Consider the following 27,001-nt stretch of genomic DNA (forward strand, 5'->3'; position numbering starts at 1 on the left):
AGACCCTTCCATCCCCAACATTTTACTAACACATTCCCAATGCAGCATACTAAATTACCCTCTTGAAAAGAAGGAAAGCCAGGACAGTGCATGTGACATTTTCCCTCATCATTTGGTTTCTGTCAGCGAGAAATATGCTTTAGTAATTTGGAAATAAACTCACTGCAGGGGGTGAATAACAGGTTTGAAGGTTGGTTAGTTGCCAAGGAGATGAACTTTGTACGCTTATGTGGAAAGTATGAGAGGATCACTTAATACTATATCCTCTGAAATTCTACTCTTTCTCCTTGGGTTCAACAAAATCATCATTTGGTTTTAGGTTGTGTTGGCAGTCACAACTATAGGAGCTATCATTAATTTAGGAAACAGGGTTCCAGGGTTGTGCTTGACCACTGACCATGTGCCACACAATGTTCCTTGTGCCCCATTTATTGTACACAGAAGCCCTATGAAGTGGGCACTACTATGATCTCACTTATATAGATAGGAGCCTGAGGCATACCAAGCGGTGTCTTACCCAGGTACAGTTACTCAGTGTCATAGTTGTAATACAGTGTCATTTTCATAGAGTTGCTTTGTCCAAGTTGTAACTTGAGTTCCTACACAGACTCTCCTCAGATTTAAAGTTTCAAAGTTCACAACTCTTTAAGTCATGAGACACAAGAGGGACAGGCTTTTGGAAAATATGGGGATGTTCTTTCTGTTTTACATCTGTTGCAGAAGGACCGTTTCTCACAAAGTTGTTAAGTAGATCATGCTCAGCATATCTGGATGCTCTTTGCTACTGGCCTGAGAAATGACCAGCAGGGCATTGCAAAGAGTGGGTAGAGAGTAACAAGACTGACAGTAATTAAACCCAGTACTCCTCATCTGGGTGAAAGGAGAATGATATCAAGTATGTCTGGTATCTAGTGATATAAATGGGTTATAGGATTTTAGATTCCAGGTGAGGCATTATAATACAACTGTAAGAAACCTGTCTCCCTCATCCCCCCGACTTCTTTATACACTTAAAAAAAATCCCAGAATTTTAAAGAAGTGTATAAAGAAGTTGGTGGGAGGAGGGAAATAATTTTAAAAAAAGAATTTGTTTGATAGTTTCGTCATGTTATGCTTTAGCTTGTTTCTTTCTTGCAGTCCCTACATTGGGACTGCAGGAGAGCTTCAAAGAAGACTTTCAGTGTAATTCTTGCGAAGTAAAGTAATGGGTATTGGGAATACACAGGGAAAAATTACAGTTATCCATTTTTGACAATAAAAAGTCTCTAGAGGGTTTTTTGGGGATCATTTTTTTTTCCTGTAGCAAGTTAAGAAGGAAAGGATGGCCAACATGATTTGTAGAAAAAAAAAGTTTCTTTGAGATAGTGTTATGTAAATTAAACCTGTGAAGGAAAGAAGTGTAAAATATAGGAAAATATAAAGAAAAAGTTAAATCCTTAGAGAAAAAAAAAGTTTCTTTGAGATAGTGTTATGTAAATTAAACCTGTGAAGGAAAGAAGTAATTGATGCTTTATCAAAAACTCATTTGTTCATCGAATTGTCTTGCTTATTAAGTGTGGTTCATTATAAACCATATTGTTGTATTGGAGAGCACAGGACTATTTCGTCATCACTTTTGGTTAGTCAGAGATAAGTATAGTTGAGATACGATTTGTTGGAAACTTCAGCCATTTTGTTCTAATGATTGTGCAAAAAAATTGGTGCTGATTTTTGATCTATTTTTTCTGTTTTTCAGGGTCGACATGTTAAAACGGGTCAGTTGGCAGCCATCAAAGTTATGGATGTCACTGAGGTAAGATTGAGTCACACACATTTTTAAATAATGTTAGATGGAAGACAAAGATTCCCCCAACAACACAGAGTATTACTCTGTTTGGAAAATCTGATTACTTGAACAAATTGCCCTCCTGTGACATTGTGGGTTCATAGGTCCAGTGGACTAGTTGGCCTAAATTGTAGTACACGGTCTCCAAGTAACTAAAAGGCAGTAGCATTTTCTCAAAACACACGCAGTGCACACACACATCTGAGTGATGTCATCCTTGGCAACGTAATGGGACATAATTGGAAACATCTTCTCTAATGGAAAAGAAAAAGTTTGAAAAGGGATCATGGAGGTCACATGAATAGGGAGATTGAGGGTTTCGAGTGGAGAAAAGCTTCTCTAGGGTATTAGGCCACATTTGTGCCATTTCTTTTATTTTTAACATGGGGGAGGAAAACAGACCCAGCCAAGTTCCCAGAGGTTGGAAAACAGAAACATCTGCTAGAATGCTGAGCAGATTGTTGGCAAAATTTAGTAGCAAAAAATAGTTCTTGAAATGGTCGCATGAGGATTTACTGTGCAGCTTTAGATGGGAAAGAGGAGAACGTGACCGAGACAGAAAGTAAATGTATGTGTGCCTGTGTGTGTGCATGTAATATATGCACGAGCCCATATTTAAATTCTTTAAAAATAGTAATATATTATAATGAACTAAATCCATTTCATTTTAAATTATTTTTATCTGAAATTTTACTTTATGCTCATGTTTGCCCCTAACTTGCCTAGTTATGAATAGGATTCAATATCATATTTCACAGATTCTAGAAAGAGTTCACTAGCAGCATTGGAGATTTAGGATAACTTTAAATCCAGCCATAACTTCCCCAAGTCTGGGGTCTGTCAAGGGAGATAATGGCTAACCTGATCTCTAGTGTGCTATCCAGAGAGCAAAATCTCCTCCTTTGCCTTGCTCTTTGCTGGGTCTCTGACAACATGGTCATCTTCAGCATGGGTATTTGTCAGTAAGAATTGGAAAACACTGTTGTCTCTGGACCACAGGACAACTGATAGAGCCTTCCATAAGTATTTGAAGATGTGACATTTTATGAGGTGACCACTCTCTTTTCTCTGTTAAAGAGAATAATGGGTACTTTAAAATGAAAATGTACCGTTGCTTAGTTGAATGGCCAAAAGATTCTCCTTGACATACTCTGATGTAGACTATTCTGTTGTATTATAGTGATCCTATCTTGGTGTACAGCTCAGTGGGAAATTGGATGCTTTCCAATAAAATATTATTTTAAGGTGATTTTAAATTTTACTGAAGGAACAGTAACTTCTTGCTTATTATAATTTAAATACAGTAGTTGAGCTATTTATGAAGTACCCTCTTTGTGAATGGAATGATCAATACCACCTTCCTACCAAAGTCTCCATTCCGAATGCTGTGCATCTTGCCGGTGCTGTGTTGGGAGTGGTGTTGCTGGAAAATACGGTCTTTGCATATTTATTAACACACTTTTTGACTTGTTTACTGGCAGACTTGTAGGTACAATTTTAAATGTAATCTTTTGGAATTTTATGAACTGAGAGTTCACTCTTGTAGTGTCATTCAACCTGTGCTGCCTCCCCTGACACAGCTGTTGTGGCCGGTCAGGATACGTCCTCTTTCACATCTCTAATGGAATCTAAATGTGGTTTGCCTTCTCTGTAGAGCTCTTCTTCACCGAAGCCTGGCTCTGATTATAAGTGTGCAATATGTGATCACTGTAAAAAAAGAAGTGTAAAATATAGGAAAATATAAAGAAAAAGTTAAATCCTTATACTTACTGCCACCTTCTCCTCCTTCTCCTCCTCCTCCTCCTCCTCCTCCTCCTCCTTCTTCTTTCTTCTTCTTATTTTTTGAGATGGAGTCTCACTCTGTCACCCAGGCTGGAGTGCTGTGGTGCAATCTCTGCTCATTGCAACCTCCACCTCCTGGGTTCAAGCAATTTTCCTGCCTCAGCGTCTGTAGTAGCTGGGATTACAGGCTCCCACTGCCACCCCTAGCTAATTTTTGTATTTTAGTAAGACAGGGTTTCACCATATTGGCCAGGCTGGTCTTGAACTCCTGACTTCAAGCAATTCACCCGCCTCAGCCTCCCAAAGTGCTGGGATTACAGGTGTGAGCCACCGCGTCTGGCCCTCTGCTACCTTATGATAGCTGTTGTTAGTGCTTCAGTGTATTTCCTTTCAATCATGTTTCTGTGAACATAGCTATAAAATACATACCGATATGTGTAATGGATGCTTTTGTATCCCACTTTTGTTGAGTTGTGTACAAAAGGTATTTTCTTGCCTGAAAAATCAGGCAATGTTGGACACATGCATGATATAAGTAGTTTTGGGACTCCTTTAAAAGCAATTATTGCAAAACCCATGTATTCAGGTAAAATGAAAACCAGATGGTGAGTCCTCAAATAAGTATTATACAAACACAATTAACTATTTACCATATTGTCCATGTTTCTTGTGTGCTGTTTTCATACAGTGACCTTTGCTATAGCATGGGGCACAGTCATTGCCCATAGTAAGTGTTGCTTATGGATAGAGGGCCATGCACAGCAGGCAGCCTGGAAAACAAGCCCTTGCCAAGCCTGCATGTCAAAGCTCCTCTTAGCTCCTCTTGTGCAGTTGTAGGCATTGGCCTGGCTGGGACCTGGGAGCAAGTGGGGAGCAGGCTGAATGAGAGAGATTTTGCAGCATGTGCTTCTGGTTCCAACTCCAGCAGGAGGGGCTATTGGAGCGGGTTCTCTTGATGAGAACAGGACTCTTCATGGTTTTTTTTTTTTTTTTTTTTACCTCCACTTAGTTTCATCTCAGGAGCAAAAAGGTGCAAATACTTGTTTTTGGGAAAAATCACAGATTGGTTCTGACTCTTTAGGTGAAAGTGAGAGGCAGTTACCAGGTCACTAGTTATTCCTCAGGCCCAGAAGGCAAGAATTGCAGCAGGTGTGGGAAATTGAATGGTGTGGCTGCTCTTCTCCCGAGCTGTCAGCTGTTGGCAGGCTGAATGAATCTAGCTCTAGAGCTGGCTGCAGACAATGCAAAGATGTGGGCCCACTTCACTTGCTTTACTTGATTATGTGAATCTGGAAAACAAAACCAGCTGAGAATTACAGATTTCATCCTCGGGTGAGGTGACAAGGGACTATGGAGGAAACCAAGGGGTCTGGAAGTGGGGAGGCATTTATTTGCAAGAGATGTCAAGTTCTCTTCAAATTTTGTGTGTGAGTACTTCAGCTGTATTAAGAATTGACTATCCTTAGGATTTTGAAAGGCTCTTTTTAGGGAAAGCATGTCTTTTATCTGATTGGTTTTGGGAAGGGTTTAAGGAACAGATTAAGGATGTGCTCAAAGTGGATGGTATTAGGATAGCAGATCTATAATGTGGTTTGTTTTTGTTTTTGTTTTAAATAATGACAGAGGATTTGCAGAAAAATGTATAGGGAGGTCTCATGTACCGTTCATTCAGTTTTCCTGATAAAATCTTGCATAACTATAGTACAATATTATAACTTAAGTACATGCACAAAACAAAGCAAGGCAAATGATTGCTTTTACCAGTGATTGCTCAACTTGGAGTTCATAAACTCTTTGAGTGAGGTTTGTCTCTGAGAACAGAATTTTATTTTGCATTTTAATAGTGTCCCCTAACTTTTTATTATGAAAAAGTTCATACATCCACAGCTGTTGAAAGAATGAACACTCTCGGCTGTTCACTTATATTCAACATTTGTTAACATTTTGTTTGTGTGTGTGTACTGTTATTGAAAATAATTACAGCTATCACCATGACACTTCACCTGAAAATATTTGAGCATGCTTGTCTTAAAGACAGTCTTCTACGTATCATAAAATTTTACCTAATGTTCAGCCTACATTCATATATCTTTGCTTGTGCCAAGAATGTTTTTATAACTCTTTTTGAATCATAGTCCAGGTTTATGCACTATACGTAGTTATCTTATATCGCTTATTTTTAAGCAGTAAGTTTCTCTTTACTTTCCTGCCTCCATTTTTATTTTTATTTTTATTTTTAAAGAAAATTGACTTTTGTAAGAATTTAGCCAGATTGTTTTGTAAAGTATCCTGTATTCTGGATTTGATGGTTTCCTCATGTTATGCTTTAACTTGTTCCTTTCTCTCCTATATTTCCTGTAGACTGGAAATATGTTGAGAGGTTTGATTAGATGCAGATTAAATATTTTTTGGCAAGAACACCTCAGTGGTGGTATTGGGTACTTCATATTGCCTCACGTCAGGGAGTACGTCAGTTCTAGGTGAAGCCCACTTCACTCATAGCCTTCCCATTATTAGTGAAGCCAAGTTGGGTCTCTTGGAGGTGACTGCCAGCGTTCTCCACCATAAGGGTGCATTATTAGTTTTACATTTCCTAAGTAATCTATCTCCAGGGTGATACTTTGGCACTGTGTGAATATTCTGTTCATGAGCAACCTTTCAACTAATGGCTTTGGCATTCATTTAATGATTCTTGCTTAGGTTAGTTATTATTGCAAAATGATGATTTTACGTTCTTCCTTTTGTATTTATTAGTCAACAACAATCTGTAGAAGAGTTTCCTACCTACCCCTTCCCTTCTCTCTTTGTCTGGATATTCCTGTGGACATGAGTGGTTTCCATCAATTACAGCTGTTATTATTACATAATCAAGTTGTACCATATTTGCCAGTGAGAGCCTTTGACATGAACCCAATGGGTCCCCATGGAGTCTGTGGCCTTTTGACGTGCCACTATTAGTTTTTGAGTACTTCCTTGTTTTCTGGAACAAGTAGATATTTGAAACTCACCTACCAAGACATGGAATACTCTCCTCTGAGGAGCCTTAGTTCTGTTGAGTGGGAAATATATTTGGAGACTAATATCTGGATGCTAAGTATGCTCATTGCTACTGAGGTATTACTGCTTCTAGGCCCTTTGAGTAGACAGAGCTAAGAAGTACATTTTTTCAAAAACCAGAATTTCTTAATTTCTTGTGTCTTGTATATCTTATGTTTCTTTGTCTTTTCTCTTATACTGAAAATATTGGTTCCTGATAAAACAACACATTTTTATGTTCAGTGAATATAAAGTTCACAGTATTATAATAATATTACTACTTAAAATAGACATGGAGGGGAGAAGTTTAAGATTTTTCTGAAGTTATTTTGGCCCTTTGCTTTGGATAAATCAAGGACAAACATTTCTTAGGTTAATGCACAGAGAACAGAGGCAAACTTATTATGTGGTGTTTTATGTCAGATGGGGATGAAACGGTGCTCTTTGGAGTGAATGATGTTTGACTGCATTTCATCAGCACTGAGTAGCAGAGCTGTATCCAATCTAGTCTTCTGGCCTGTCCAGTGGCCTTTCCAACATGTGGTCCTTTTTCTCAGCCACTCGGGCATAGGATGCTGTTAAAGCAGGGGATTCTCAAAATGTAGCTATTGGACCAGCAGCTGCTGCGAGTACTTGGAAACTTGTTAGAAATGTAGCCTCTGGTTCCATCCCAGATTACTGCATCAGAAACTCAGGACTGGAGCCCTCCAAAAAATTCTAATGCACCTTTAAGTTTGAAACCCCCTGCTTTAATGGAGCCTTGGGAAAGAAAGAGCCCACTCCCTTCTGTCTGTCGGTGAAGAACTGCAGCTCAGAGACGCTAATAACTTCTTGCTCAGGAGTACATTGCTAATTAGACACTGCAGGAATTAGAACCTGGATCTTTGATTCCCTACTTACTGTACTTGTGAAAGTATAACCATTTCAAACATCAGGTTTTTAAGTAAGCTCGTTGAGTGAGCTGGTTGGATCTGAACTTTAAAGGATAGATGGATCTTGACCACACTTCTCCTTTTTAAAATTTGTTTTTAGCAGATTTGTCAGAGCAGACTTTCTTTTAGTTTTAAGACTACAGTGTCTGTGAATGGTAATTCTGTCATATTACTTAGGGGTTGGGAAGATATTGGGCATGATGTCTTTTGGGAGCCAGTATACTGGAAGAGCCAGTATACTGGAAGATTGAGCATCTTCCAGTATTCCTAGCGCCATGTTCCATGGATATGTGGAAGTAAAAGCTGTGTAAAAGCCCTTCCTAGAGCAGCCAAGTAAGAATCTGGCCTCTGCCTGTCATCATATGTGGAAAGGCAAGAGCCATACAAGAAGCTAAGCAATATATGTCACTTCTGATGGACAGATTTTTGAATGCCTTCTGAGCTCTGACCACGCATGGGCAGGACACCTTGCTTTCAGGGAGTTCATGCTCTGGTACGAGGGAGTAAAACAAGCATATTCCAGTGATAACACAAGGCCATATAACACTGAACAATTTTACCCTTTTCATTTGGAGGGGAGCACAATGTAATGAATGTGTTGTTCTTGTCTAGACTGAAAATAAGAACAAAAGGAAGGGAAGGAGAGATCTCTGTGGCCTGTGGGACCTATTGTTCTATTCTGTTATTCCTCAGAGGCCAGCTAAATGCTACAGGCCTTACAGCTTCGTACTGGCTTCTTCTGTTTTAGGGTGTTGGTGGCACTTTCTCCCTGTGCTTTGCATGACTCTGGCAGACTTACCACAGGATCATTCAACGTTGTCAGGGTGAGCCAGAAATGTATCAGTTTTTGACAGTCTGTATCCCCCTCCTGCACCGCCCCCTCCCTCCTTATCTTCTTATCTTCTGCTTTTCCCTTAGCTACTGAGAGAAAAACTAATGTGCCATGTTTGTGGGATGCTAAATTTCCTCGTCTTGTATTTTCTTACCTTAGACAACTTTTAACCTGATTTGAATGATCTTTGATCTTAAATTTTAACTTCCCAATTTGGGTTGGTTTCCTTACTCAGCCTTGTGTAGATAGATAAAAGGCCACAAGTTTATTTATTTATTTATTTTTTAAATACTGGTATAAGACAAGACCTTGAAGAAAAGCTCTTAAAATCAGTTAAAATCAACTACATTTTATTTAATTATTGATTTATTTTAACAAGTATAGTGATTTTGAGAACTAATAGTTCCACTGTATCCTCATATATTACAGCAGTTTTTTTCAACCTTCCGTTTTTTTGACTGTCTCCTCCCTATGAAGCTTTTTAAAACATTCTTTTAGTTTTTTTTTTTTTTTTTTTTTGGAGACCAAGGTCTTACTCTGTTGCCCAAGCTAGAGTGCACAAGTCTAGCTGTGCACAAGTCTAGAGTGCACGAGTCTAGCTCATCGTACCTCAAATTCCTAGACTCAAATGATCCCCCCCATCTCAGCCTCCTGAGTAGCTGGGACTACAGGAGTGTGCCACCTACAATAATTTTTTTTTTTTGAGAGATGGGGTCTTATTGTGTTGCCCAGGCTGGTCTCAAACTCCTGGGCCCAAGCAATCCTCATGTCTCAGCCTCCCAAAGTGCTGGGATTTACAGGTATGAGCCACAGCACCCGCCCTTCTAATCATTCCCTGTGAAATTTTAATAGTACAGATATACTGTATATCTGTATATAACTATATATGTTTATGTACTGTATATATGTCTTTACACTTAAAAGTAGTAAATTTTCTTGAGGACAATATCAGCCCCATTGAGAACACTTGGTGTAGAGTAATATAAAAATACAAAATACGAAAATTCTCTCTTGCTGTTTTAACCCATTTAATAAGTCAGTAAGCAGAGGAAGGTTAAGACTAGGTTAGCTTTATGCCTGTGATGTTTTACATTTTTCATGTTGAAAAGTCTTCACTTTATTTATGGATGACGACAGTTGGAATTCAGAGAGGTGCTTGACCTGTCTAAAGTCACAATAGAGTCCTGGACTTGCTTTTATTACACCACATCTCCCAGTTCACTACAGGAGTATAGCAGTGGTATTCTGTATTTGGGTTTTAAAGTAGTGGTACCTAACAAGATGCAATGCTATATAAGTAGTAGACACTCAAATATTTGATGAATTAAATAGGGTGTTCCATTTTTGGTGGTTGCATGAGTTCCGTGCACTTGGAGAAAACATAGTAGATACACACTACTGGTTTCATTGTCCAAGAAAACAGTCTTCTATTGCAATATTTATAATTTTCCATGTCATTCTCATCTTTTGTAATCACAAATATTTACATTTTAGATGCTAACATTAATCATAAATAACAGCAAGACCTCTTACTTACTTTCACACTTAAATTTCATCCCTCTAGGAAAGAAAATTATTGGAGTGGTTAGGAGTGAGTACATTTCTGGGTTTCATTTTTAGAATTGTCACTGAACTAATAAAAATGATTTAATCTTTTGCTCCTCTTTCCCAGGAACATAAATTTGAGGCCCATAAATAATTTTCAAGGTGAATTTATAGTGTATGAGCCTCCTAGGCAGTTAACCTCATTATTTAGTAGTCATATCCTGCCTTTTTCCCCAAGACAGCAATACATACTTTTAAGCATGATAAAGCTCAGTTTCCTCATCTGTAAAATGGAATAATGCCTACTTCAGAGGCTTTTGTCAGAATTAAAATTAATGTAAAGTATGTAGTCTATTAGTTTTTACATAGTAAATGTGAGTTTCCTTGTTACCTTCTCCTTATTAAAGACATTAAAGTATCACTTTTGCTGAAGGCTTTTAAACACTCCCAATACCCTCCTCAGCCACTTACTCAAATGATCCACTCTCCACCTGCCTCCCTCCACCTGTGGCAATCCTTTTCTCCTTGTCTTTCTTCCTTGCAGGCTCCTTCTTCAGCCCCTCTGTGGTTACAGCCATCACTGTTTGGTCCTTTGATAACTACCTTTGCCCTGTGAACTGTCTTCTTCTGCTGTATATGTGTGTGGGTTTTTTTTTTTTGTTTCATTTTTGATTTTTGTTTTTTCAGATAGGCTTCACTCTGTTGCCCAGGCTGGAGGGCAGTGGCATCATCCGGGTTCACTGCAGCCTGGACTTCCTGGGCTCAAGTGATCCTCCTACCTCAGCCTCCTGAGTAGGTGGGACTACAGATGTGTGATACCATGCCCAGCTAATTTTTAAAATTTTTCGTAGAGACGAAGTCTTACTGTGTTACCCAGGCTGGTCTCAAACTCCTAGGCACAAGATGTCTTCCTGCCTTGGCCATCCCAAAGTGCTAGGACTGCTGATGTGAGCCACTGAGCCCTGCCGATTCTTCTGCTATTTTAATCGTTAGCTAGAGAACAGTGGCCACATGTTCATTTATGTGTATGTTTTTCTATTCTAGATCATACCCTCTTGTAGGATTATCTCAGCCCTTCTAGGTTCATGACAGCACCCTTCATTCACGTGGGTGGTGCTTAGCATATATTTGCTCTTTCTAAAGAATGCCCCAAGACAAAAGGCAGTTCTTGTTGTTCTTCTCCTTAAAAAAAAAAAAAATAATAATTTTTTGAGACAGGATCTTGCTTCATCCCCCAGGTTGGAGTGCAGTGGTGTGATCATGGCTTACTGCAGCTTCAACTTCCCAGGCTCAAGAGATCTTCCCACCTCAGCTTCCCGAGTAACTGGGACTAAAATTTTTTGTAGAGACCAGGTCTCCCTGTGTTTCCCAGGTTGGTCTCAAAGTCCTGGGCTCAAGCAGTCCTCCTGCCTTGGCTTCCCAAAGTGGTGGGATTATAGGCGTGAGGGACCACACCTGGCCAAAAGGCAGTTTTAAAGGAGAATTTCCGAAAGTGCTTTGAGCAGTAGCAAAAAATATATATAGTGTCCCTTTTAAAAGATTACAGACAGCCTTTATATTAATATTTATGTGCTACTATATTTTAATAATCATACATTTACTAATTTGTTGGCTAGTTTTAAATATAAAAAAGGAATAGAGAAAAGTATCATATTCATTCTTATTGAAAATATGACTACTAATTGCTTTGTTCAGATATAATTTTGGTTCGTTGGGACTGGAAATGGCAAATGTATACCATGGTTTGTAGGTTTTTTGTTTTTGTTTTTAATGCTGTTCATGGAGTTGCACTAATTCATTTATTTAAACAAGTACTGAACACTTAGTCTTAAAAACACTATTCTCAGCTCTGGGGTGGAATAGAAAGATTAATTATGCTTTAGGAATAACTATTCTTGATCTCTTGGTAAATTAAAACTTGCTGTGAAAGGATCATCTTTGTAATTGTTAATGAGCATTCTTCAAGCAGATTGAATATCCACAGTTTCTTAGTTTAATTTCATCATTTTGTGAACCAAAGGCATTTTTTCTAAGTAAAATAAATGGTTGAGTAAAAAAAATCGCCCAACAAATTTTGTATAATCTAAATTGCTGTTTTTTTTAAAAAAATGGATACTGTCCTTTCACCATCCCATCTCCTTTCCCCAGCTGCTGCTGCTGCTTTCTGCTTTCCTCCTCTTTCTTTATTCCTTTCAGCTTTGGGCGGCTGTACATGCAAAGTTTTGTTTTTTATCTTGACACTTCCCATTCTTGCTTCCATTCCCTGTAAATGTATAGAAAAGAATGTTGTGTTGGAGGTCCCCAAGACCATCCTCAATTTCGATTCCAGCACATAGATGTACTCTCCGCTGTGATTTATAGCACAATGACAGGATCCAGAGCAAATTCAGCAAGAGAACAGGCATGTAGAAGGAAGTCTGAAGGGATTCAGGCACAGACTTCCCAGAGTCCTATCCTAGTGCAGTCACATAGGCCCTGTTTACTTCCTCCAGCAGAGCCGTAATGGCACGTATGAAATATTGTCTACCAAAGAAGCTTGCTAGAGACTCAGTGCATTGAATTTTTATTTGGAGATGGCAGTACAAGCAGCCTCTGCCTAGCATGCACCCAAAATTTCAGACTTCCAAAAGGAAAACAGGTGTTTGGCGTAAACTGCATTCTAGGTACAGTGAGCCACTCTTACCAGTTCTGGGAGCGGTGGAAACCCTACCCAGATCAAAATCCCAGATGCCAGCCAAAGGCCAACCTTGTAAGCTGCCCTTTTTAGGGATGGTGTCAGGCCTCAGGACTAAACAGACACCTCTCCTGAGTGCTGCATTGATGTATCACCTGCCTCATCAGCATCTCTACTTGGAAGTCCGATAGCCTAAACTCAACATGTCTCATGTGAGTTCCTGTTCTTCCCCCATAAGCTTGTTGCACTTGGAGCCTTGTCTTTTCTCAGTTGGTGGCAACTCCACCCTCCTCATTGCTCAGGCCCAAAAAGATTTTGTATCCTGGGTGGACTACTTGCTTTCTGTCCTGTACCACTTGGCTCATCTGTCAGGAAATCCTATTGGTTCTGCCTTCAAACTATGTCATTTGTGTCAGAATAATCTTGGTAGATAGTGGGTGTGGATAGATTGACTTCAAGTTAGTAACTGCTGGTTAGTATTTTTGAAATCATAATATGTTTTAATGAGTCTGATGGTCTCCTCATAGTCTATGAGAGTCTGTAAGAACAAACAGATACAAATCTGACCCTTCTCACCACAGCCTCTGTGCTGCCACCCTTGGCTACCCCTCTGGTTTTGGCTGCCACCCTCTGTTGCTTAGATTTCTACCATAGCCTCTATCACGAGCCTCCTGCCTCCATGCTTGTTCTCCAGTCACTTCTCACTGTAGCAGCTGACTGAAGCTTGGGAAACAAAGTCAGAATAGAGTCTTTCATAGGCTGCTTTCTTAGCTCAGAGTAAAAGTACGGGTTCTTACAGTGGCTGACATGACAGGGCCCTACTTGATTGGCCTCCCAGCCCTCCTCTCCTCCTTCTACACAGTCACTCCAAGCACACAGGCCTGTTCACTGTTTCTCCACCCTGCTCGCCTGATCCCGCCCAGAGACCTGTCACTTGCTGTTTGTTCATTGTGCCTGGAATGCCACTCCCTCACGGCTGCCCAGCTCACTCCCACACTTTCTTCATGCCTTGACACAGCAAATGGCCTCTTCCTACTCCTAAAGCTCTTGCCCTGTTCTATGTCACCGTATATAACTGGCATATTTATTCTACTTAATGTATACCAGTGCCTCCACCATGCCACTAACTGCCTGTCTCCCAAGAATATAACCTCCATACATAGTGACAATGATCTTTGTCTGTTTTTTTTTTGAGATGGAGTTTTGCTCTTGTCACCCAGGCTGGCGTGCAATGGCGTGATCTCTGCTCACTGCAACCTCTGCCTCCTGGGTTCAAGTGATTCTTCAGCCTCAGCCTCCCAAGTAGCTGGGATTACAGGCGTCTGCCACCATGCCCAGCTAATTTTTGTATTTTTAGTAGAGATGGGGTTTCACCATGTTGGCCAGGCTGGTCTCGAACTACTGACCTCAGGTGATCCGCCCACCTCAGCCTCCCAAAGTGCTGGGGTTACAGGCGTCAGCCACTGAGCATGGCCAGTTTTTTTAGTGATGTTTCATCCAATGTGCAAATTCAATGCCTAGCATATAGTAGGCATTTAGTAAACACTGTCGAATGAACAGTGCCTCCCCTTCTTTTTATGTAAAAAACCCAAAACTCAAGTTAAGTTACATATGCTTGGTTGATGATGATGATGATGTGTGTGTGTGTGTGTGTATGTATGTGTGTGTGTGTTTGTGTGTGTGTCTGTCTGTGTCTGTGTCTGTCTGTGTGCACAGGCCATGAAACTATTTGATGATTAAACAGTTTGGATTGTCTTTTAATTGTATAGTGACATGCCCTTTGAGATGTGGTAAAATGAAGCAATACAGTTGGAAAGAAGGTTTTAGATAACCTGTGTCCATTCCTTTGAAACACTTAAAATGGTGAAGTCTTTTAAAAGGATCACTTTAGCACCCCTGCCCTTTTTTTTGCCTCCTGAATTTAGTTCCAATAACTGCTTTCCAGTTTACATTCTCTTCATAGGACTGGGGTATAAATTCTAGCCTAATTTGTCCATATGATAAAGCCTAATTCTAGCCTAACCTGTCCATATGATAAAGCTTTCTGGAATTGCTTGTTTTATTAGTCTGTCAACGTCTTGTGAAAATCTATAGTAGCAACATACACAGGATCTTAAACATTTATATGACAGTGGAATCATTTTTAGAATAAAAGCTCTGATTGTTTAATTAGAGAAACGGACCCCCCCTTCACTACCATTAGCATAATACCCTGACAGAAGGAAAGACATTTTTGGTGAGACATTTTTATCTCCTAGTTATTCTGACTTTTTTGCTAACCTTACAGAAAAGAGAGTTGACTTCTGTGGGTTTGATCTAAAATGGGATTAGGGAGCCAGCTAGTTGATGGGCTGGGTTTTTAGCATCCAAACTTGCCACATTGTAGTGCACTGTTAATCCATAAATGGCCTCAGCGTTGCGGGAAGCCAGGCTCTCTCTGCTCCAAGGGCAGAAAATCCCCTTAGAAAGCTGCCTTCTGGTGAATGAACAGCCCGTCTGTTCTATTGTTCCACGTTAGCCTGCAACATCTGTGCCACAGGTCAGACTCTCTCCCTTGATTTTTAACTCTGTGCACTAACAGGGAACCCAGATTATATTTTGGCTGTAATCCTGCTCCCAAGCTTGCAGATCGTTTTGCAATTTGTTTTAATTGCAAAACAATTGTCCCGTTGAACCTTGGGCATTATATGTAGTTCAGTATGTGCTAGAGGTTTTAGGTGATGTTTAGAACTATGAAAATGATTTCATGGTGGGGTGAAAGAATTTTATTTCTCACTCCTCTCCCTGGTATTCTAAGGTGCTGATTGGTCTCCAAGTCTGAGTGCAAATTCTGCCTAGATGGAAACCCGCCTCTGAAACAGGACTGCCACTGTCTTTGTCAGTTATCTGATGGTTATCATGATGTCCTTGGGGCTCTGAAGTCCCCAGCATGTCCAGGGGTCTTTTCTCTGAGCACAGGAACCTTGTGCCAGTTTTCCTTTACCCGTGTTTCTTTTATGTCTAGACATTCCCAGACACTTTTTTTCTCTCCTTAACATACCTGTGCTGTAGCAGTGTGGCTGACAGGTCTTGGGAAACCAGTTCTCGAGGGTAGCTGCGTTTACTTGCCTTTGTCTATATGAGCACTGAATTCAGGAGAAGTGTCTTCATATATGCAACCCTCAGTAGCTCTTATATTTTTATATTTTGGGCCGGGTGCGGTGGCTTACGCCTGTAATCCCAGCACCTTGGGAAGCCAAGGTGGTTGGATCATGAAGTCAGGAGGCCAGCCTGGCCAATGTGTTGAAAACCTGTCTCTACTAAAGATACAAAAATTGGCCGAGCGTGGTGGCACGTGACTGTAATCCCAGCTACTCGGGAGGCTGAGGCAGGAGAATCGCTCGAACCCAGGAGGCGGAGGTTGCAGTGAGCTGAGATCGCACCATGCACTCCAGCCTGGGTGACAGGGCGAGACTCCAGATCAAAAAAAAAAAAAAAAAAAAAAAGTAATAATATTTTGACCTTTTTATTGAAGTGAAGCATGCATACAGAAAAGTACACAAATTATAAACTCAGTAAATTTCCAAAAACTGTACATAACTCTTCAATGGACCAGCACCTAGATCAAGAAACAGAACTTTGCCGGTACCCCAGGAGTGCCCTGATATGCCTCTTGCAGTCACTAACTGTTCCATGCAAGGGTGACACTGTCCTGACTTCTCTCACCACATATTACTTTTGCCTGTGTCTGTTCTTGATATAAATGGAACCATACGGTACTCTGTGTCTGGCTTCTTTCAGTTAGCATTATGTTTGTGAGGTCCACCCATATGGCTGCTTATAGGGAGAGCTCATTTATTCTCATTGCTTTTAGTATTCTGTGGTGTCCCACTAACATCCAAGTGAATATATTCCTGCCGTTGATATAATACTGGTTATGTGGCAGGTGCTGAATTGAATTGCTGCAGAGATAGAAGGGAATTTACCTAGTTTAGGAAATTCTGTGATGGATAAGAGATGCTGAGGTGCAGGTTATAGGGAAAATATTCACGTCTGTATTTCTCATAGTTTGGGCATGGTTAAATATCCACTTATTTTCTGACTTAATTGTATTATCTTAACTGCAGGAGTCCTGAGAAAGAGCAGATGACGTTGCTGGCGTGTGATGACTTGGGAACTTTACTCTCTGCTATCTTTGTTGGCTTACACAGCTTTCCCAGCTGCTACAGGTCTTCTGCAAAGAATTTGTGCAGCACTCTTTGGGATTCTTGTTTGGCCTGTGTCTCACTGCCGCTTCCTTCTCACCCTGTTTCCAAGGTTGTCTACTTTCCTACCGACTTTGCTACACTTGCAGCATGTCCTCCCCCTGCTCCCTTAAGATGGTGTAGGTTTGGGGTGGAATAAAGATAGGGAGACACAGCCAAATAAATAAAATTCCAAGCAAGCCTGCGTTCTTGCCCCACCCCACCCACCATACCCTGCTCCTGTCCCTACTTTGTCTCTTACAGATCATGAAGAAAGAAATCTCTTAAGTTCTACTCATTCTTATTTTTAATGAGAAGGATGTTTTAAAAACAAGGTCTTTGATATGACATTTTGTCATACCTAGGAAAGCAACAATAACAGCAGTAACTGCTAGGTTGAGGGAATCTGTAGTTAGGTGGTATTTCCTGGTGATGAGTCATCTTCCCCCCAGGCCCCTTGGGGATCTTTCTTTCGTGAATGAGTGAGGGGGAAGGCATTTATACAAGAAAAGAGTGAATGCCTTCATTTCAGCTGTTTCACTTTTTTTTTTTTTTTTTTTGAGACGGAATCTCGCTCTGTCACCCAGGCTGGAGTGCAGTGGCACGATCACGGCTCACTGCAACCTCCACCTCCCAGGTTCAAGCATTTCTTCTGCCTCAGCCTCCCTAGGAGCTGGGACTACAGGCACGTGCCACCGTGCCCGGCTTATTTTTATATATATTTTTAGTAGAGACAGGGTTTTATCATATTGGCCAGGCTGGTGTCGAACTCCTGACCTCGTGATCCGCCCGCCTTGGCCTCCCAAAGTGCTGGGATTGCAGGCGTGAGCCACTGTGTCCGGCCTCAGCTGTTTCACTTTTAATGTGCCCGGTGAACTCACTTTTGTTCACTCACTGAAGATGCTGGATTTTTCTCCCCCTGAAGCTAGAACTGAAGAAGACTCCCTGGTTATTTTTTCCTCCTTAAGTTGTTTAGAAAGCAGAAGAAAACTGTTGATTTGGAAAGTGACTGTACAGATGTTTTTGTTCAAAAGGGAAAGGAGGAAGAAGGCCATTGAGATAGAAGAGATTAAAATTTGGAACTACGGTTAAAGCAGCACATCTCCCTGGGCCTGGCTGGCCCTGGCGATTCTGTGTGGTTGGGCACGTGTGGAGTAGTGTTGGTTCATAGCTTCTGCAGCCTTTTTCAGTTCTTTCTTTTACCCTTCTTTTTTTTTTTTTTCTTTTTTCTGAGACCAGTGTCTGTCTCACTCTTGTCACCCAGGCTAGAGTGCAGTGGTTTGATAACAGCTCACTGCAGCCTGGAACTCCTGGAATCACAGTTCTCCCACTTCGGCCTCTTGATTAGCTGGGGTTATAGGTGTGTGCCACCACACCTGGCTAATTTTTTATTTTTTAATTTTTTTTAGAGACAGGGTCTCACTATATTGCCCAGGCTAGTCTCAAAACTCCTGGGCTCAAGGGCTCACGCAGTCCTCCTGCCTCGGCCTCCCAGAGTGCTAAGATTATAGGTATGAGCCACTGCTCCTGGACATGTCACCTGTATTTTAGCCCAACATGGCACTCCTGTATGATGATTTGAGGAACTGACTACCTTCACAGAAGGTGCTTTATAATGACATCATAGTTCATAGGGTGGGGTGGGGGATGTTAGGGTAAGTGCCATTTCTGTCTCATTAGTTCCTAGACTGATGGTAACCTACATGACCAAAGATGCTTTTCTGTATTAGTCCTTTCTCACATTGCTATAAAGAAATACCTGAGACTGGGTAATTTATAAAGAGGTTTAATTGACTCATGGTTCTACAGGATGTGCAGGAAACATAGTGGCTTCTGCTTTTGGAGAGGCCTCAGGAAGCTTCCAGTCATGTTGGAGGCAAAGGGGAGCAAGCATCTTACATGGTAGAAGCAGGAGCAAGATAGAGAAAGAAAGAGTGGGGGAGGGGGAGGGAAGGAATGAGGGAACCAGGGAAGGAGCGCTCTGCACACTTCTAAACAACCAGATCTCTTTAAATGACCAGATCTCATGAGAACTTCCTCACTGTCGCAAGGGCGGTATCAAGAGAGGTGGTGCTAAACCATCCGTGAGAAACCCACCTCATGATCTAGTTACCTCCAGGCCCTACCTCCAGCATTGGGGATTACAGTTTGACCTGAGATTTGGGCTGGGAAGCATACCCAAACTGTACCACCAAAGATGCTTCTTCACAGTAAAGCCCAACAACGGAAGTTTTCTTCAGGATAAGCCCATTTTTCATTGCCTTACAAATGACCATCAGTTCTGGTTGTTTCCCTTGTTTTTATTTTATCCATTAGGAGGATGGGGAGAAGAATGCCCATGGCTCCTTACCTTGCTGGCAGAGCAGGGTAACCGAAGATGAGGGCTCTGTGGTGTGGTGCTGCCTGTGTGCAGCTTGTGCCCAGGGCCCTACACAGAGGAATTGCTGGTTTGTGCAAGTGAGGGACCCTGCGTCTTCCTTATAGCTACAGAGCCCATGGCTGTGGGCAGCTCCTGGCTCTTAACACCGAAGAATTCATGGATTCTTGCTGCTTCAAGTGAGGTCGTGCTGGGTGGTGAATGTTTTCTTAACTGTTCTCTTTATGCTAGTTTAAAAGTTCAAGGCTTTTTGGCCCTTTGACTTTACTGGTTACTTCTGCTTATCAGGATGATAAGAAAATTAAAATGTATTCCCCCTGTTACACCACCCTCACCCCCCCCCACCCCGTTTAGTATACCTACGGTGGTGAATTTTATGATTTATAAATTACAGCTCAGTGAAGCTGCTGGAACAAAAAATTTAAGTGACGTTTAAAATTATATTTCTTAATTTTTACTTTCTATGAAATATAATTATTCCAGGGATAAAATATAGAGAAGTAAAAAGATGAAAAAAATTACACTCATAATTCCATCACCTTGGCTTAACTCCTGTTAAAGCATTAATGTATATTTTTTTAGTTTCATTGTGTGTGTGTGTGTGTGTAAAGTTATTTTTTAAATGATGGAAAGGCTTTTTTCTCTAACAGTAAAATAATGTACTCATCTAGAAAACTGGAAAGTGGAAAAATATTTTCTTACAGTCTCACCCCCCCGACGTTCTGGTGTATTTCCAGTCTTTGCGGAGTAAAGCTATTTCTTATGGCTGCCAGTCACTCAAGGAAAGCCCCCAGTCAAATGTGTTTATATGTGTGGCTGCGTTTAGTTTAAAAATGAGTTTGTATTTATTTATTTATTTTAGAAAGATTTCTCCTGAATAATTCAGGTGGTGAATTCCTTAATCTTGTTTAGTCTCAACTACATACTTCATGTAACTTTTTTCTAGTCACCACTTCATGGTACACCTCTACAACTTTGAGCTTGTATATAGCGCGTATATATGTTATTTTCATGTAGTGATTTTTTTTCCTGTCCATACACTTTGGACAATGTGGCTTTTAGATTGTAAATTACTGAAGAACAGGCCACTGTAAATAACTTCATAATATTGTCTGTCTGAACAAGCACTTTTTATTCTTAGTTTTTTTTTTTGTTGTTGTTAGCTTACAAGATCTTGAAAAGTGGATGCTAATCACCACCATACATATGGTGGTTTAATCGATATATTTTCCCTGATAGATGCTTCTTAACTGATAAAGTATTTGTCATTGTCTTTATTATTTTAACTCATCTGAATATAAATAAAACTGAAGTTAGGGAAAGGAAGCAGCATATTACTTAGAAAAGGCCTGATGACTTTAGAAAAGGCCTGATGACTTTTTAAAACTTAAGTACTATTTGAAACCTCTCAATAAACTGCTTGTTTTTGATAACTTGACTCAAATATTCCATCAGTTGCTTAGTTAAAGTGGTTCAGCCCCAGTACTTCTTTATTATATCATCTTCAGCATCTGTTGCTTTGTTTGTTTGGGAGGAAGATGGCTGGCTGCTTAGCCTCTCTCAAAGCTGGACTGTGACATTGTGTCTGTGGTTGATGGACACAGCTGTGCAATTTTTGTGTGTGCTTGGCAGCACCATCTTCAAAAACATCTGGTCTAAAGATGTAGTTCTCTCTCCTGCAACTGTATGTAAATCATTTAGTGCATAATGGGATAATGCCAAATATACTTACTTGACATGAACACATAAGTGATTTAAAAGCCCAACATGATTTTCTATGCTGACCCAGAGTTCAGTGTATTGGAAGATTCATTGTCTAATTGGGTGTGTACTTGTATCACTTAGTCTGGTGCTAGTACATCACATGCCATGGATATGCTAATTTTCTTCATTTTAAGTGAAGGAAATGGCTGGTTTGGTATAATAGGTAGCAAAAACAGGAGGGAACCCTTTGGCTAAACCATTGGGGTGAATTTGGTTTGAATCAAATCTTTCAAAGATTGCTGTGTCTAAGATACATTCCTCAGCATCTCCTGTATATTTTTTAAGGGATGTTTATAGAGAAGATTCCATAGTACCCCTGTGGGTTTTTTTTAAATACAGGTAATCACTGTGCCTGTTTTAATGATAATTTATATGAATTTATGTATTATATTTGCATTATATATTATGAATTTATGTTATAATTAATTTGTACCCATAATTAATATATAAGTAACATCATTAGCCTCTTGCATTGGACTTGGTGAGAGTCTTCCTAGATTGGCTCTTATTTTTATAATATCTGAAAAAATTCACAATACCATTTAAAAGCACAAAGGTCTCCAGGATTTGTTACTTACTGTATCCCTCAGGTTTTATGATTTTCCCCCCCAAGTAATTAGAGATGTCTTCAGTGAAATTTACCACTGAAGGATCTTAGCTCTGAATAGCAAGCCCCAAATTAACCCACTATTTACTCTGGGCTCTCAAGAGGCATATCTTTTTTTCCTTTTAGTTTTGAGGTTTTCTTTTTAAAAGTTCTAAGACTTACAGAACTTTAAGTTTTAAATTCATTATTTTCCCCATTCTGTGTCTATTTTTAGTTAGAAAAACTGATAAACCCAATTAATTCTACAAGCATAGGTTACAGTATTCTTCTGTGCCAGTTTTTTGTCCAAGGCTTACTATTGAGTAGAAACACTAGCTGTTGAATGTGCACAAGTCTATAAGCATCCATGGACAAGACGGTGCCTTATGCACACTGCTGATAGATTCTGATGTGAGGCTGCCAATTTATACTGAGCCTGGCAGGAAACGAGGGCATTTTCTTGATTTCTTTTAACAGACTTATTTTATTTTACTAAGTTTAGTTAGTCTAGGCTCAAGAATGTGAAAGTAGGGTCGGGCGAGGTGGCTCACACCTGTAATCCCAGCACTTTGGGAGGCCGAGGCGGGTGGATCACGAGGTCAAGAGATCGAGGCCATCCTGCCCAACATGGTGAAACCCGGTCTCTACAAAAATACAAAAATTAGCTGGGCTTGGTGGCGGGTGCCTGTAGTCCCAGCTACTCGGGAAGCTGAGGCAGGAGAATCACTTGAGCCCAGGAGGCAGAGGTTGCAGTGAGCCGAGATTTGCGCCACTGCATTCCAGCATGGCGACAGAGTGAGACTGCGTCTCAAAAAAAAAAAAAAAAAAAAAGAATGTGGAAGTAGTTTTGCTGGCCTGTGGCTTCCCTGGCTTCATTCTGTATAGTGTCATTCCTTGTCTGGTTTCTTTTATGCTGGCTCTACGGCTCTACCCAGGTTTGTTGGCTGCTCCTTGACAGCTGCCCAAGCTCACCCTCCCAGGTGTTGACGCCCCTTCTCTCTGCATTTCCTTGTCCCTGTGCTCTGCCTGCCTCTGTATCTGCATTGGTCCATGTGTCTCTTTGACGAGCCATCTCTCTCCCTGTCCTGCCCCTGCTTGCTCTTGCCGGTGCCCCACATGGTGTTTGCTATGAAGTGGGCCCACAGTTCGTGCTTACTGAATGCATTTATACCAATGGATGGGCATGTGGTTGGGGCACTTGTTAAAATCTGCCAAGGAAAGTGGCATGGCAACTTACTGACCTTCATTTTTTTGGGTAACAGCAGATGGTAAATTTGGCAGTTGGTATTGTTGGTTGGAGCTGGATAAGTTGGGCAGGTTCCAACATGGTAATATCCTTTGTGCTTGTGAATTTGGGTTGGTGAATGGCCTTTCAGGGTCTTCACTGGAGACATTTATTTGTGTAATTTTTACTGATTTAAGTTTTTGTCTTTATCTCTGTAAGTCAATACACACTCTTGGAGGAGGAGGTACCTACCACTTGAGAGACTTTGTATGTGTTTTCATGACAACAATACGTTTACTTTTTCTTTTGTGCAGAAATTTAGTTCCCTCATTATATTCAAGATAGGTGTGTGGTAGTTTATGGTCCTCCTTTATTCTGACAACTCCGTTCTTTTTCCTGCCACCCCATGAGAGTTCTAGTTTTAAAACAATTGCTTCAAGTTAGCCAGACTGACTCAGGGGACTCCATGCAGACTTTGCATGTGTTTTGCTTCATAGCCATTCAGAGTACAGGGAGATGATGATCACAAGACAGGGAGGACTGTGTTGTTCTTTAGGGAGTGATGTTGTTTGACTCTTCGCAGACGGAGGACATCAGCAGTGTCTCGAGGCCTTCTTTTCATGTCTTTCGTTCAGCCACTCCTGCAGCCTCCAGTCCACCTCCTCACAGCACGCGTGCGTGTCCCTGGGTACTTGCAGATAGATGGAGTAAAGATTAAGGAACACAATGGCAAGTTAATGAACTGTTTTAAGACCAAAATGACTTACTACAGCTTTATGAAATGTGTAGGTAGTAGACTGCCTTAAAGTTCTATATAAAATGATTAATAGCAAAAAAAAAAATTGCTAATGACTTAGAGTATCTTTCTGGTGATTGTTTTTAAAAATGTGCATCTTTGCTGTAGATAATTGCCATACAGTGTGCTTATGGTGCTGGATGGGGTGGTGGGATGCTAGGGGACGCTACTTAAGTAAAAGAGGTTAAGTGCGAGATAAAATAGCACCAACTTGTCTTCTAAATTTGAGGAAACTGTGTTTGCCTATTTAAATTGGATTACGTTGGCCAGGCGTGGTGGCTCACGCCTGTAATCCCAGCACTTTGGGAGGCCGAGGTGGGCGGATCACGAAGTCAGGAGATCGAGACCATCCTGGCTAACACATGGTGAAACCCCGTCTCTACTAAAAATACAAAAAATTAGCTGGGCACGGTGGCGGGTGCCTGTAGTCCCAGCTACTCGGGAGGCTGAGGCAGGAGAATGGCGTGAACCCAGGAGGCGGAGCTTGCAGTGAGCCAAGATAGTGCCGGCCTGGGTGAAAGAGCAAGATTTCGTCTCAAAATAAATAAATAAATAAATTGGATTACATTAATCCTATATTATTGACTTCCACTATGAAGTTAGAGGTTTATGTAATGGAAACACTTTTTTTCCTGTATATAATAAAATTTGTATTTTCAACAATAATCTTTTAAAATTACATTCAAGAGAAAAATTATTTTCTGATAAAATACAAATAGTACTCAATGTCAGTAGTAATATGTATTGTGTTCAGAGCATGTCTCAGAGCGAAAACACTAAAAAAGGAGCTGTAGCCGGGACCTGCAGCAGTGTGAGTGCCCTTGGTGGTCACTCTCCTCAGTGCTCTGGGACACAGTTGAGCAGTGCCAGTCTTAGCAGCTGTTCGTATTATTTCCAATTTAATCACATATTGAAGATCATTGGTTGTCTTCTCCCTCAGTCTTTTTGGTATCTGTGAATTTTTGGCATCTTTTCACATTTTTCCAAGAGAGGCACTTGCAGTTTATCATTATCTTGTATGAACACAGGTAATGACGTACATAGTTAGGACATACATTGCTGATTGTTGTTTGGAAGAGAGGATATGGGACACATTTTTATGAGTTTCTGTGGTGGTGGAGTATAAAGCATCCAACAAGATTTTCCCCATAAGGACCACTTACATCGTGGGCTAGAAATGAATATACTGGTTTGGTTCAGAGCAGAACTTCTCCTTGGGTTTAGTTAAGGTCGGTTTGAGTAACTAGTATAATGCAGATGGTAGCCCTGTAGAGTCAGATTTCCTCAGATCTTGGTCAAGTGTAGTAGTTTTTCCATTGGGACTTTGAAGCTTTTGATTTTGTGTTTCTCTCACTGGCTCCCATTAGATGGTTTGATATCTTTCTAAGAAGTAGAGAAAATTGAGAGGGAGAGACATCAAATTATTTTCCTAGTTAGGATTGAAAAGTAGGGAGGTGATATTTAATTATTGAAGGCATGATGACTGGTGCCATCCTATAGTTTTCTTCCACACCCCAGTATTAGGAAATGATTCACTTAGGTGAGAAGCTGTGAGAAGTGTTGAGTGACCTCCAGATACATGCTATCACATTTTCTGCAGAGAATGTGAGTAGATGCAGTACGACATAGCCAAATGTATGCTTATCCCTGAATTTTGTCACCTAAATTTTTTTAAATGAAAGGTGTCTGTTAGGAATTAAAATACCTTGATTCTATTTTCTATTTTACCCAAGTCTGTGACACTTATTCATGGTCTTTTTGAGTAACTTCTGTGGAAAGCATCTTTGAATTCTTAGAGCTAAGGGAATGATTCTTCATATGTGGTTCCCATGAGGCTCTTCCAGAGACTTCTCCAGGCATGTGAGCTGTGATACAGAGGTCACTTAGTTGTATTTGAAGTGGAAAATGCCATTTCATAATAAAGACAGGATCCCTTTCCAGATTTGCAAATGATCCACAATGAAGAGAATTATTTGAAAGTAACAAAATGGTAGTGTACACACATGGAAACTAAGGCTTTTTTCCTTGTTACCATATTGGCAGACTATAGCAAATTTCCATTTTCCAGGGAGCATCAAGAGCCAAGGTGATTTTGGTTTAATATCATGACATTTGAAAGATAGCTTTCCAAGGAAAGAGTTCACTGCTTTTCTCCAGGTGATCATTGTTTTTATTTTATCTTCCTTTTTTCTACTCGTGTACTGTGGTGATTCATGAAACATATGAAAATAATACATAAGCAGGAGTTGGGGTAGCTTAAGAAGCGAAAGTGGAGGAGACAGGAAGAATGAGGGAAAAGGTAAGGTAAACCATGAAACATATCAGAAATTGGGGCTTTGCTTCTAATGTCCTCAAGGTCAAAGTTAGAAAGTCACTGAGCTGTGTAAATACTAGCCATTGGCCTTGCCCTCTGAAGTCAGTGCTTCTCCAAGTAGGGTCTGTGGAATAGTTACTAGCCTCATTTTGACAGCCAATACTTTGATTAACACATAAACCAATAAGTTGTTTATAGCAATTGAGATCAAACAAAAATTACTTAAATGATTGGATCAAAAGTAAGTTGATTTCAAACATCATTTTTGTAGACAGTTTTTCGTATGCGTGACTTAATTTTTTTTTTAAATTATGATTATATTCTTCTATTGGTGGGAAAGTAGGAACAGATGACCTGTATGATAATGTGGGTCTTTTACTCTGCCACTCTGGTTGAAGGATGGAAACATCTGTAATTCCAAGTTGTTGCTTTTTAAATGCACTGGGTTCTAATTTAATGGACCATAAAAAGCAAATTGGGTGTCAGGTTCCTTCATGGGTAGATGCCCAACAGACGTAATAGTTTATACCAATAGAGGTGTAGGTTGTAGCTTTTGTTAAGTTTTTTTTAAATCTGTGAATTCTGTGATCAGTGTTATTCCTGGGTTAGTTTCAGATAATTTTCTTTCCCCCCCTCTCTCATATGTGTATGGTCCAGCTTCTTTGCATGCCTGGTAATTTTTAGTTAGATTCCACACATTGTTAATTTTACCTTATTGGGTACTGGATATTTTATATTTTTTATAACATACTTGACCTTTGTTCTGGGATGAAGGTAGTTCTTGGGAACAATTAGATCCTTCGAAGATTTGATTTTGGGATTGTCACATCATGTAGTCTAGGCTTATTTGGCCCCACTATCGAGGCCAGAGTCTTCTGAGTCCTGTGAATGACGAGTTTTTCCAATCTAGCCAACGGCAGGAGGCACTGCTTCCCAACCCTTTGAGCACTGGGTAGTATTCCGAGGAATCCTTTGGGATCAGGCTCTTTCCCTTACCTCAGGTGGTTTCCGCACGGGGACGTGTTGATAGTGTGCTACTGAGTCTTCTAGGGGGAATTGCTTGCTCTCTGTGCAGCTGTCTCCTTTCTGG

The 27,001-nt window shown here is 40.4% G+C and overlaps 1 protein-coding gene across 55 annotated transcripts in view, besides 2 other annotated features; it reads left to right on the forward strand.

The window, feature by feature from the left end:
• The window catches only part of MAP4K4 (mitogen-activated protein kinase kinase kinase kinase 4), a 196,984-nt gene that overhangs the window by 91,278 nt on the left and 78,705 nt on the right, over positions 1-27,001 (forward strand). For all 55 annotated transcript variants that reach the window (NR_169279.1, NR_169280.1, NR_169281.1 and 52 more), the window contains one exon: positions 1,736-1,792. Coding sequence is in view for 51 of the 55 variants with exons in the window: in NM_001395002.1 (NP_001381931.1) it covers positions 1,736-1,792 (57 nt within the window). In the remaining 4 variants the exon portion in view is untranslated. The remainder of the gene's footprint in view (positions 1-1,735; positions 1,793-27,001) is intronic.
• Positions 17,487-18,422: an enhancer, noted in NCBI's record as "H3K27ac-H3K4me1 hESC enhancer chr2:102422933-102423868 (GRCh37/hg19 assembly coordinates)". NCBI's record gives its function as "activates a minimal SCP1, AML or CMV promoter by ChIP-STARR-seq in naive H9 embryonic stem cells {active_cell/tissue: H9 hESC(naive)}" and the evidence as "EXISTENCE:reporter gene assay evidence [ECO:0000049][PMID:30033119]".
• Positions 19,067-19,675: an enhancer, noted in NCBI's record as "OCT4-NANOG-H3K27ac-H3K4me1 hESC enhancer chr2:102424513-102425121 (GRCh37/hg19 assembly coordinates)". NCBI's record gives its function as "activates a minimal SCP1, AML or CMV promoter by ChIP-STARR-seq in primed H9 embryonic stem cells {active_cell/tissue: H9 hESC(primed)}" and the evidence as "EXISTENCE:reporter gene assay evidence [ECO:0000049][PMID:30033119]".

This window comes from Homo sapiens, chromosome 2 (assembly GCF_000001405.40).
Source record: "Homo sapiens chromosome 2, GRCh38.p14 Primary Assembly".
NCBI classification, from domain to species: Eukaryota; Metazoa; Chordata; class Mammalia; order Primates; family Hominidae; genus Homo; species Homo sapiens.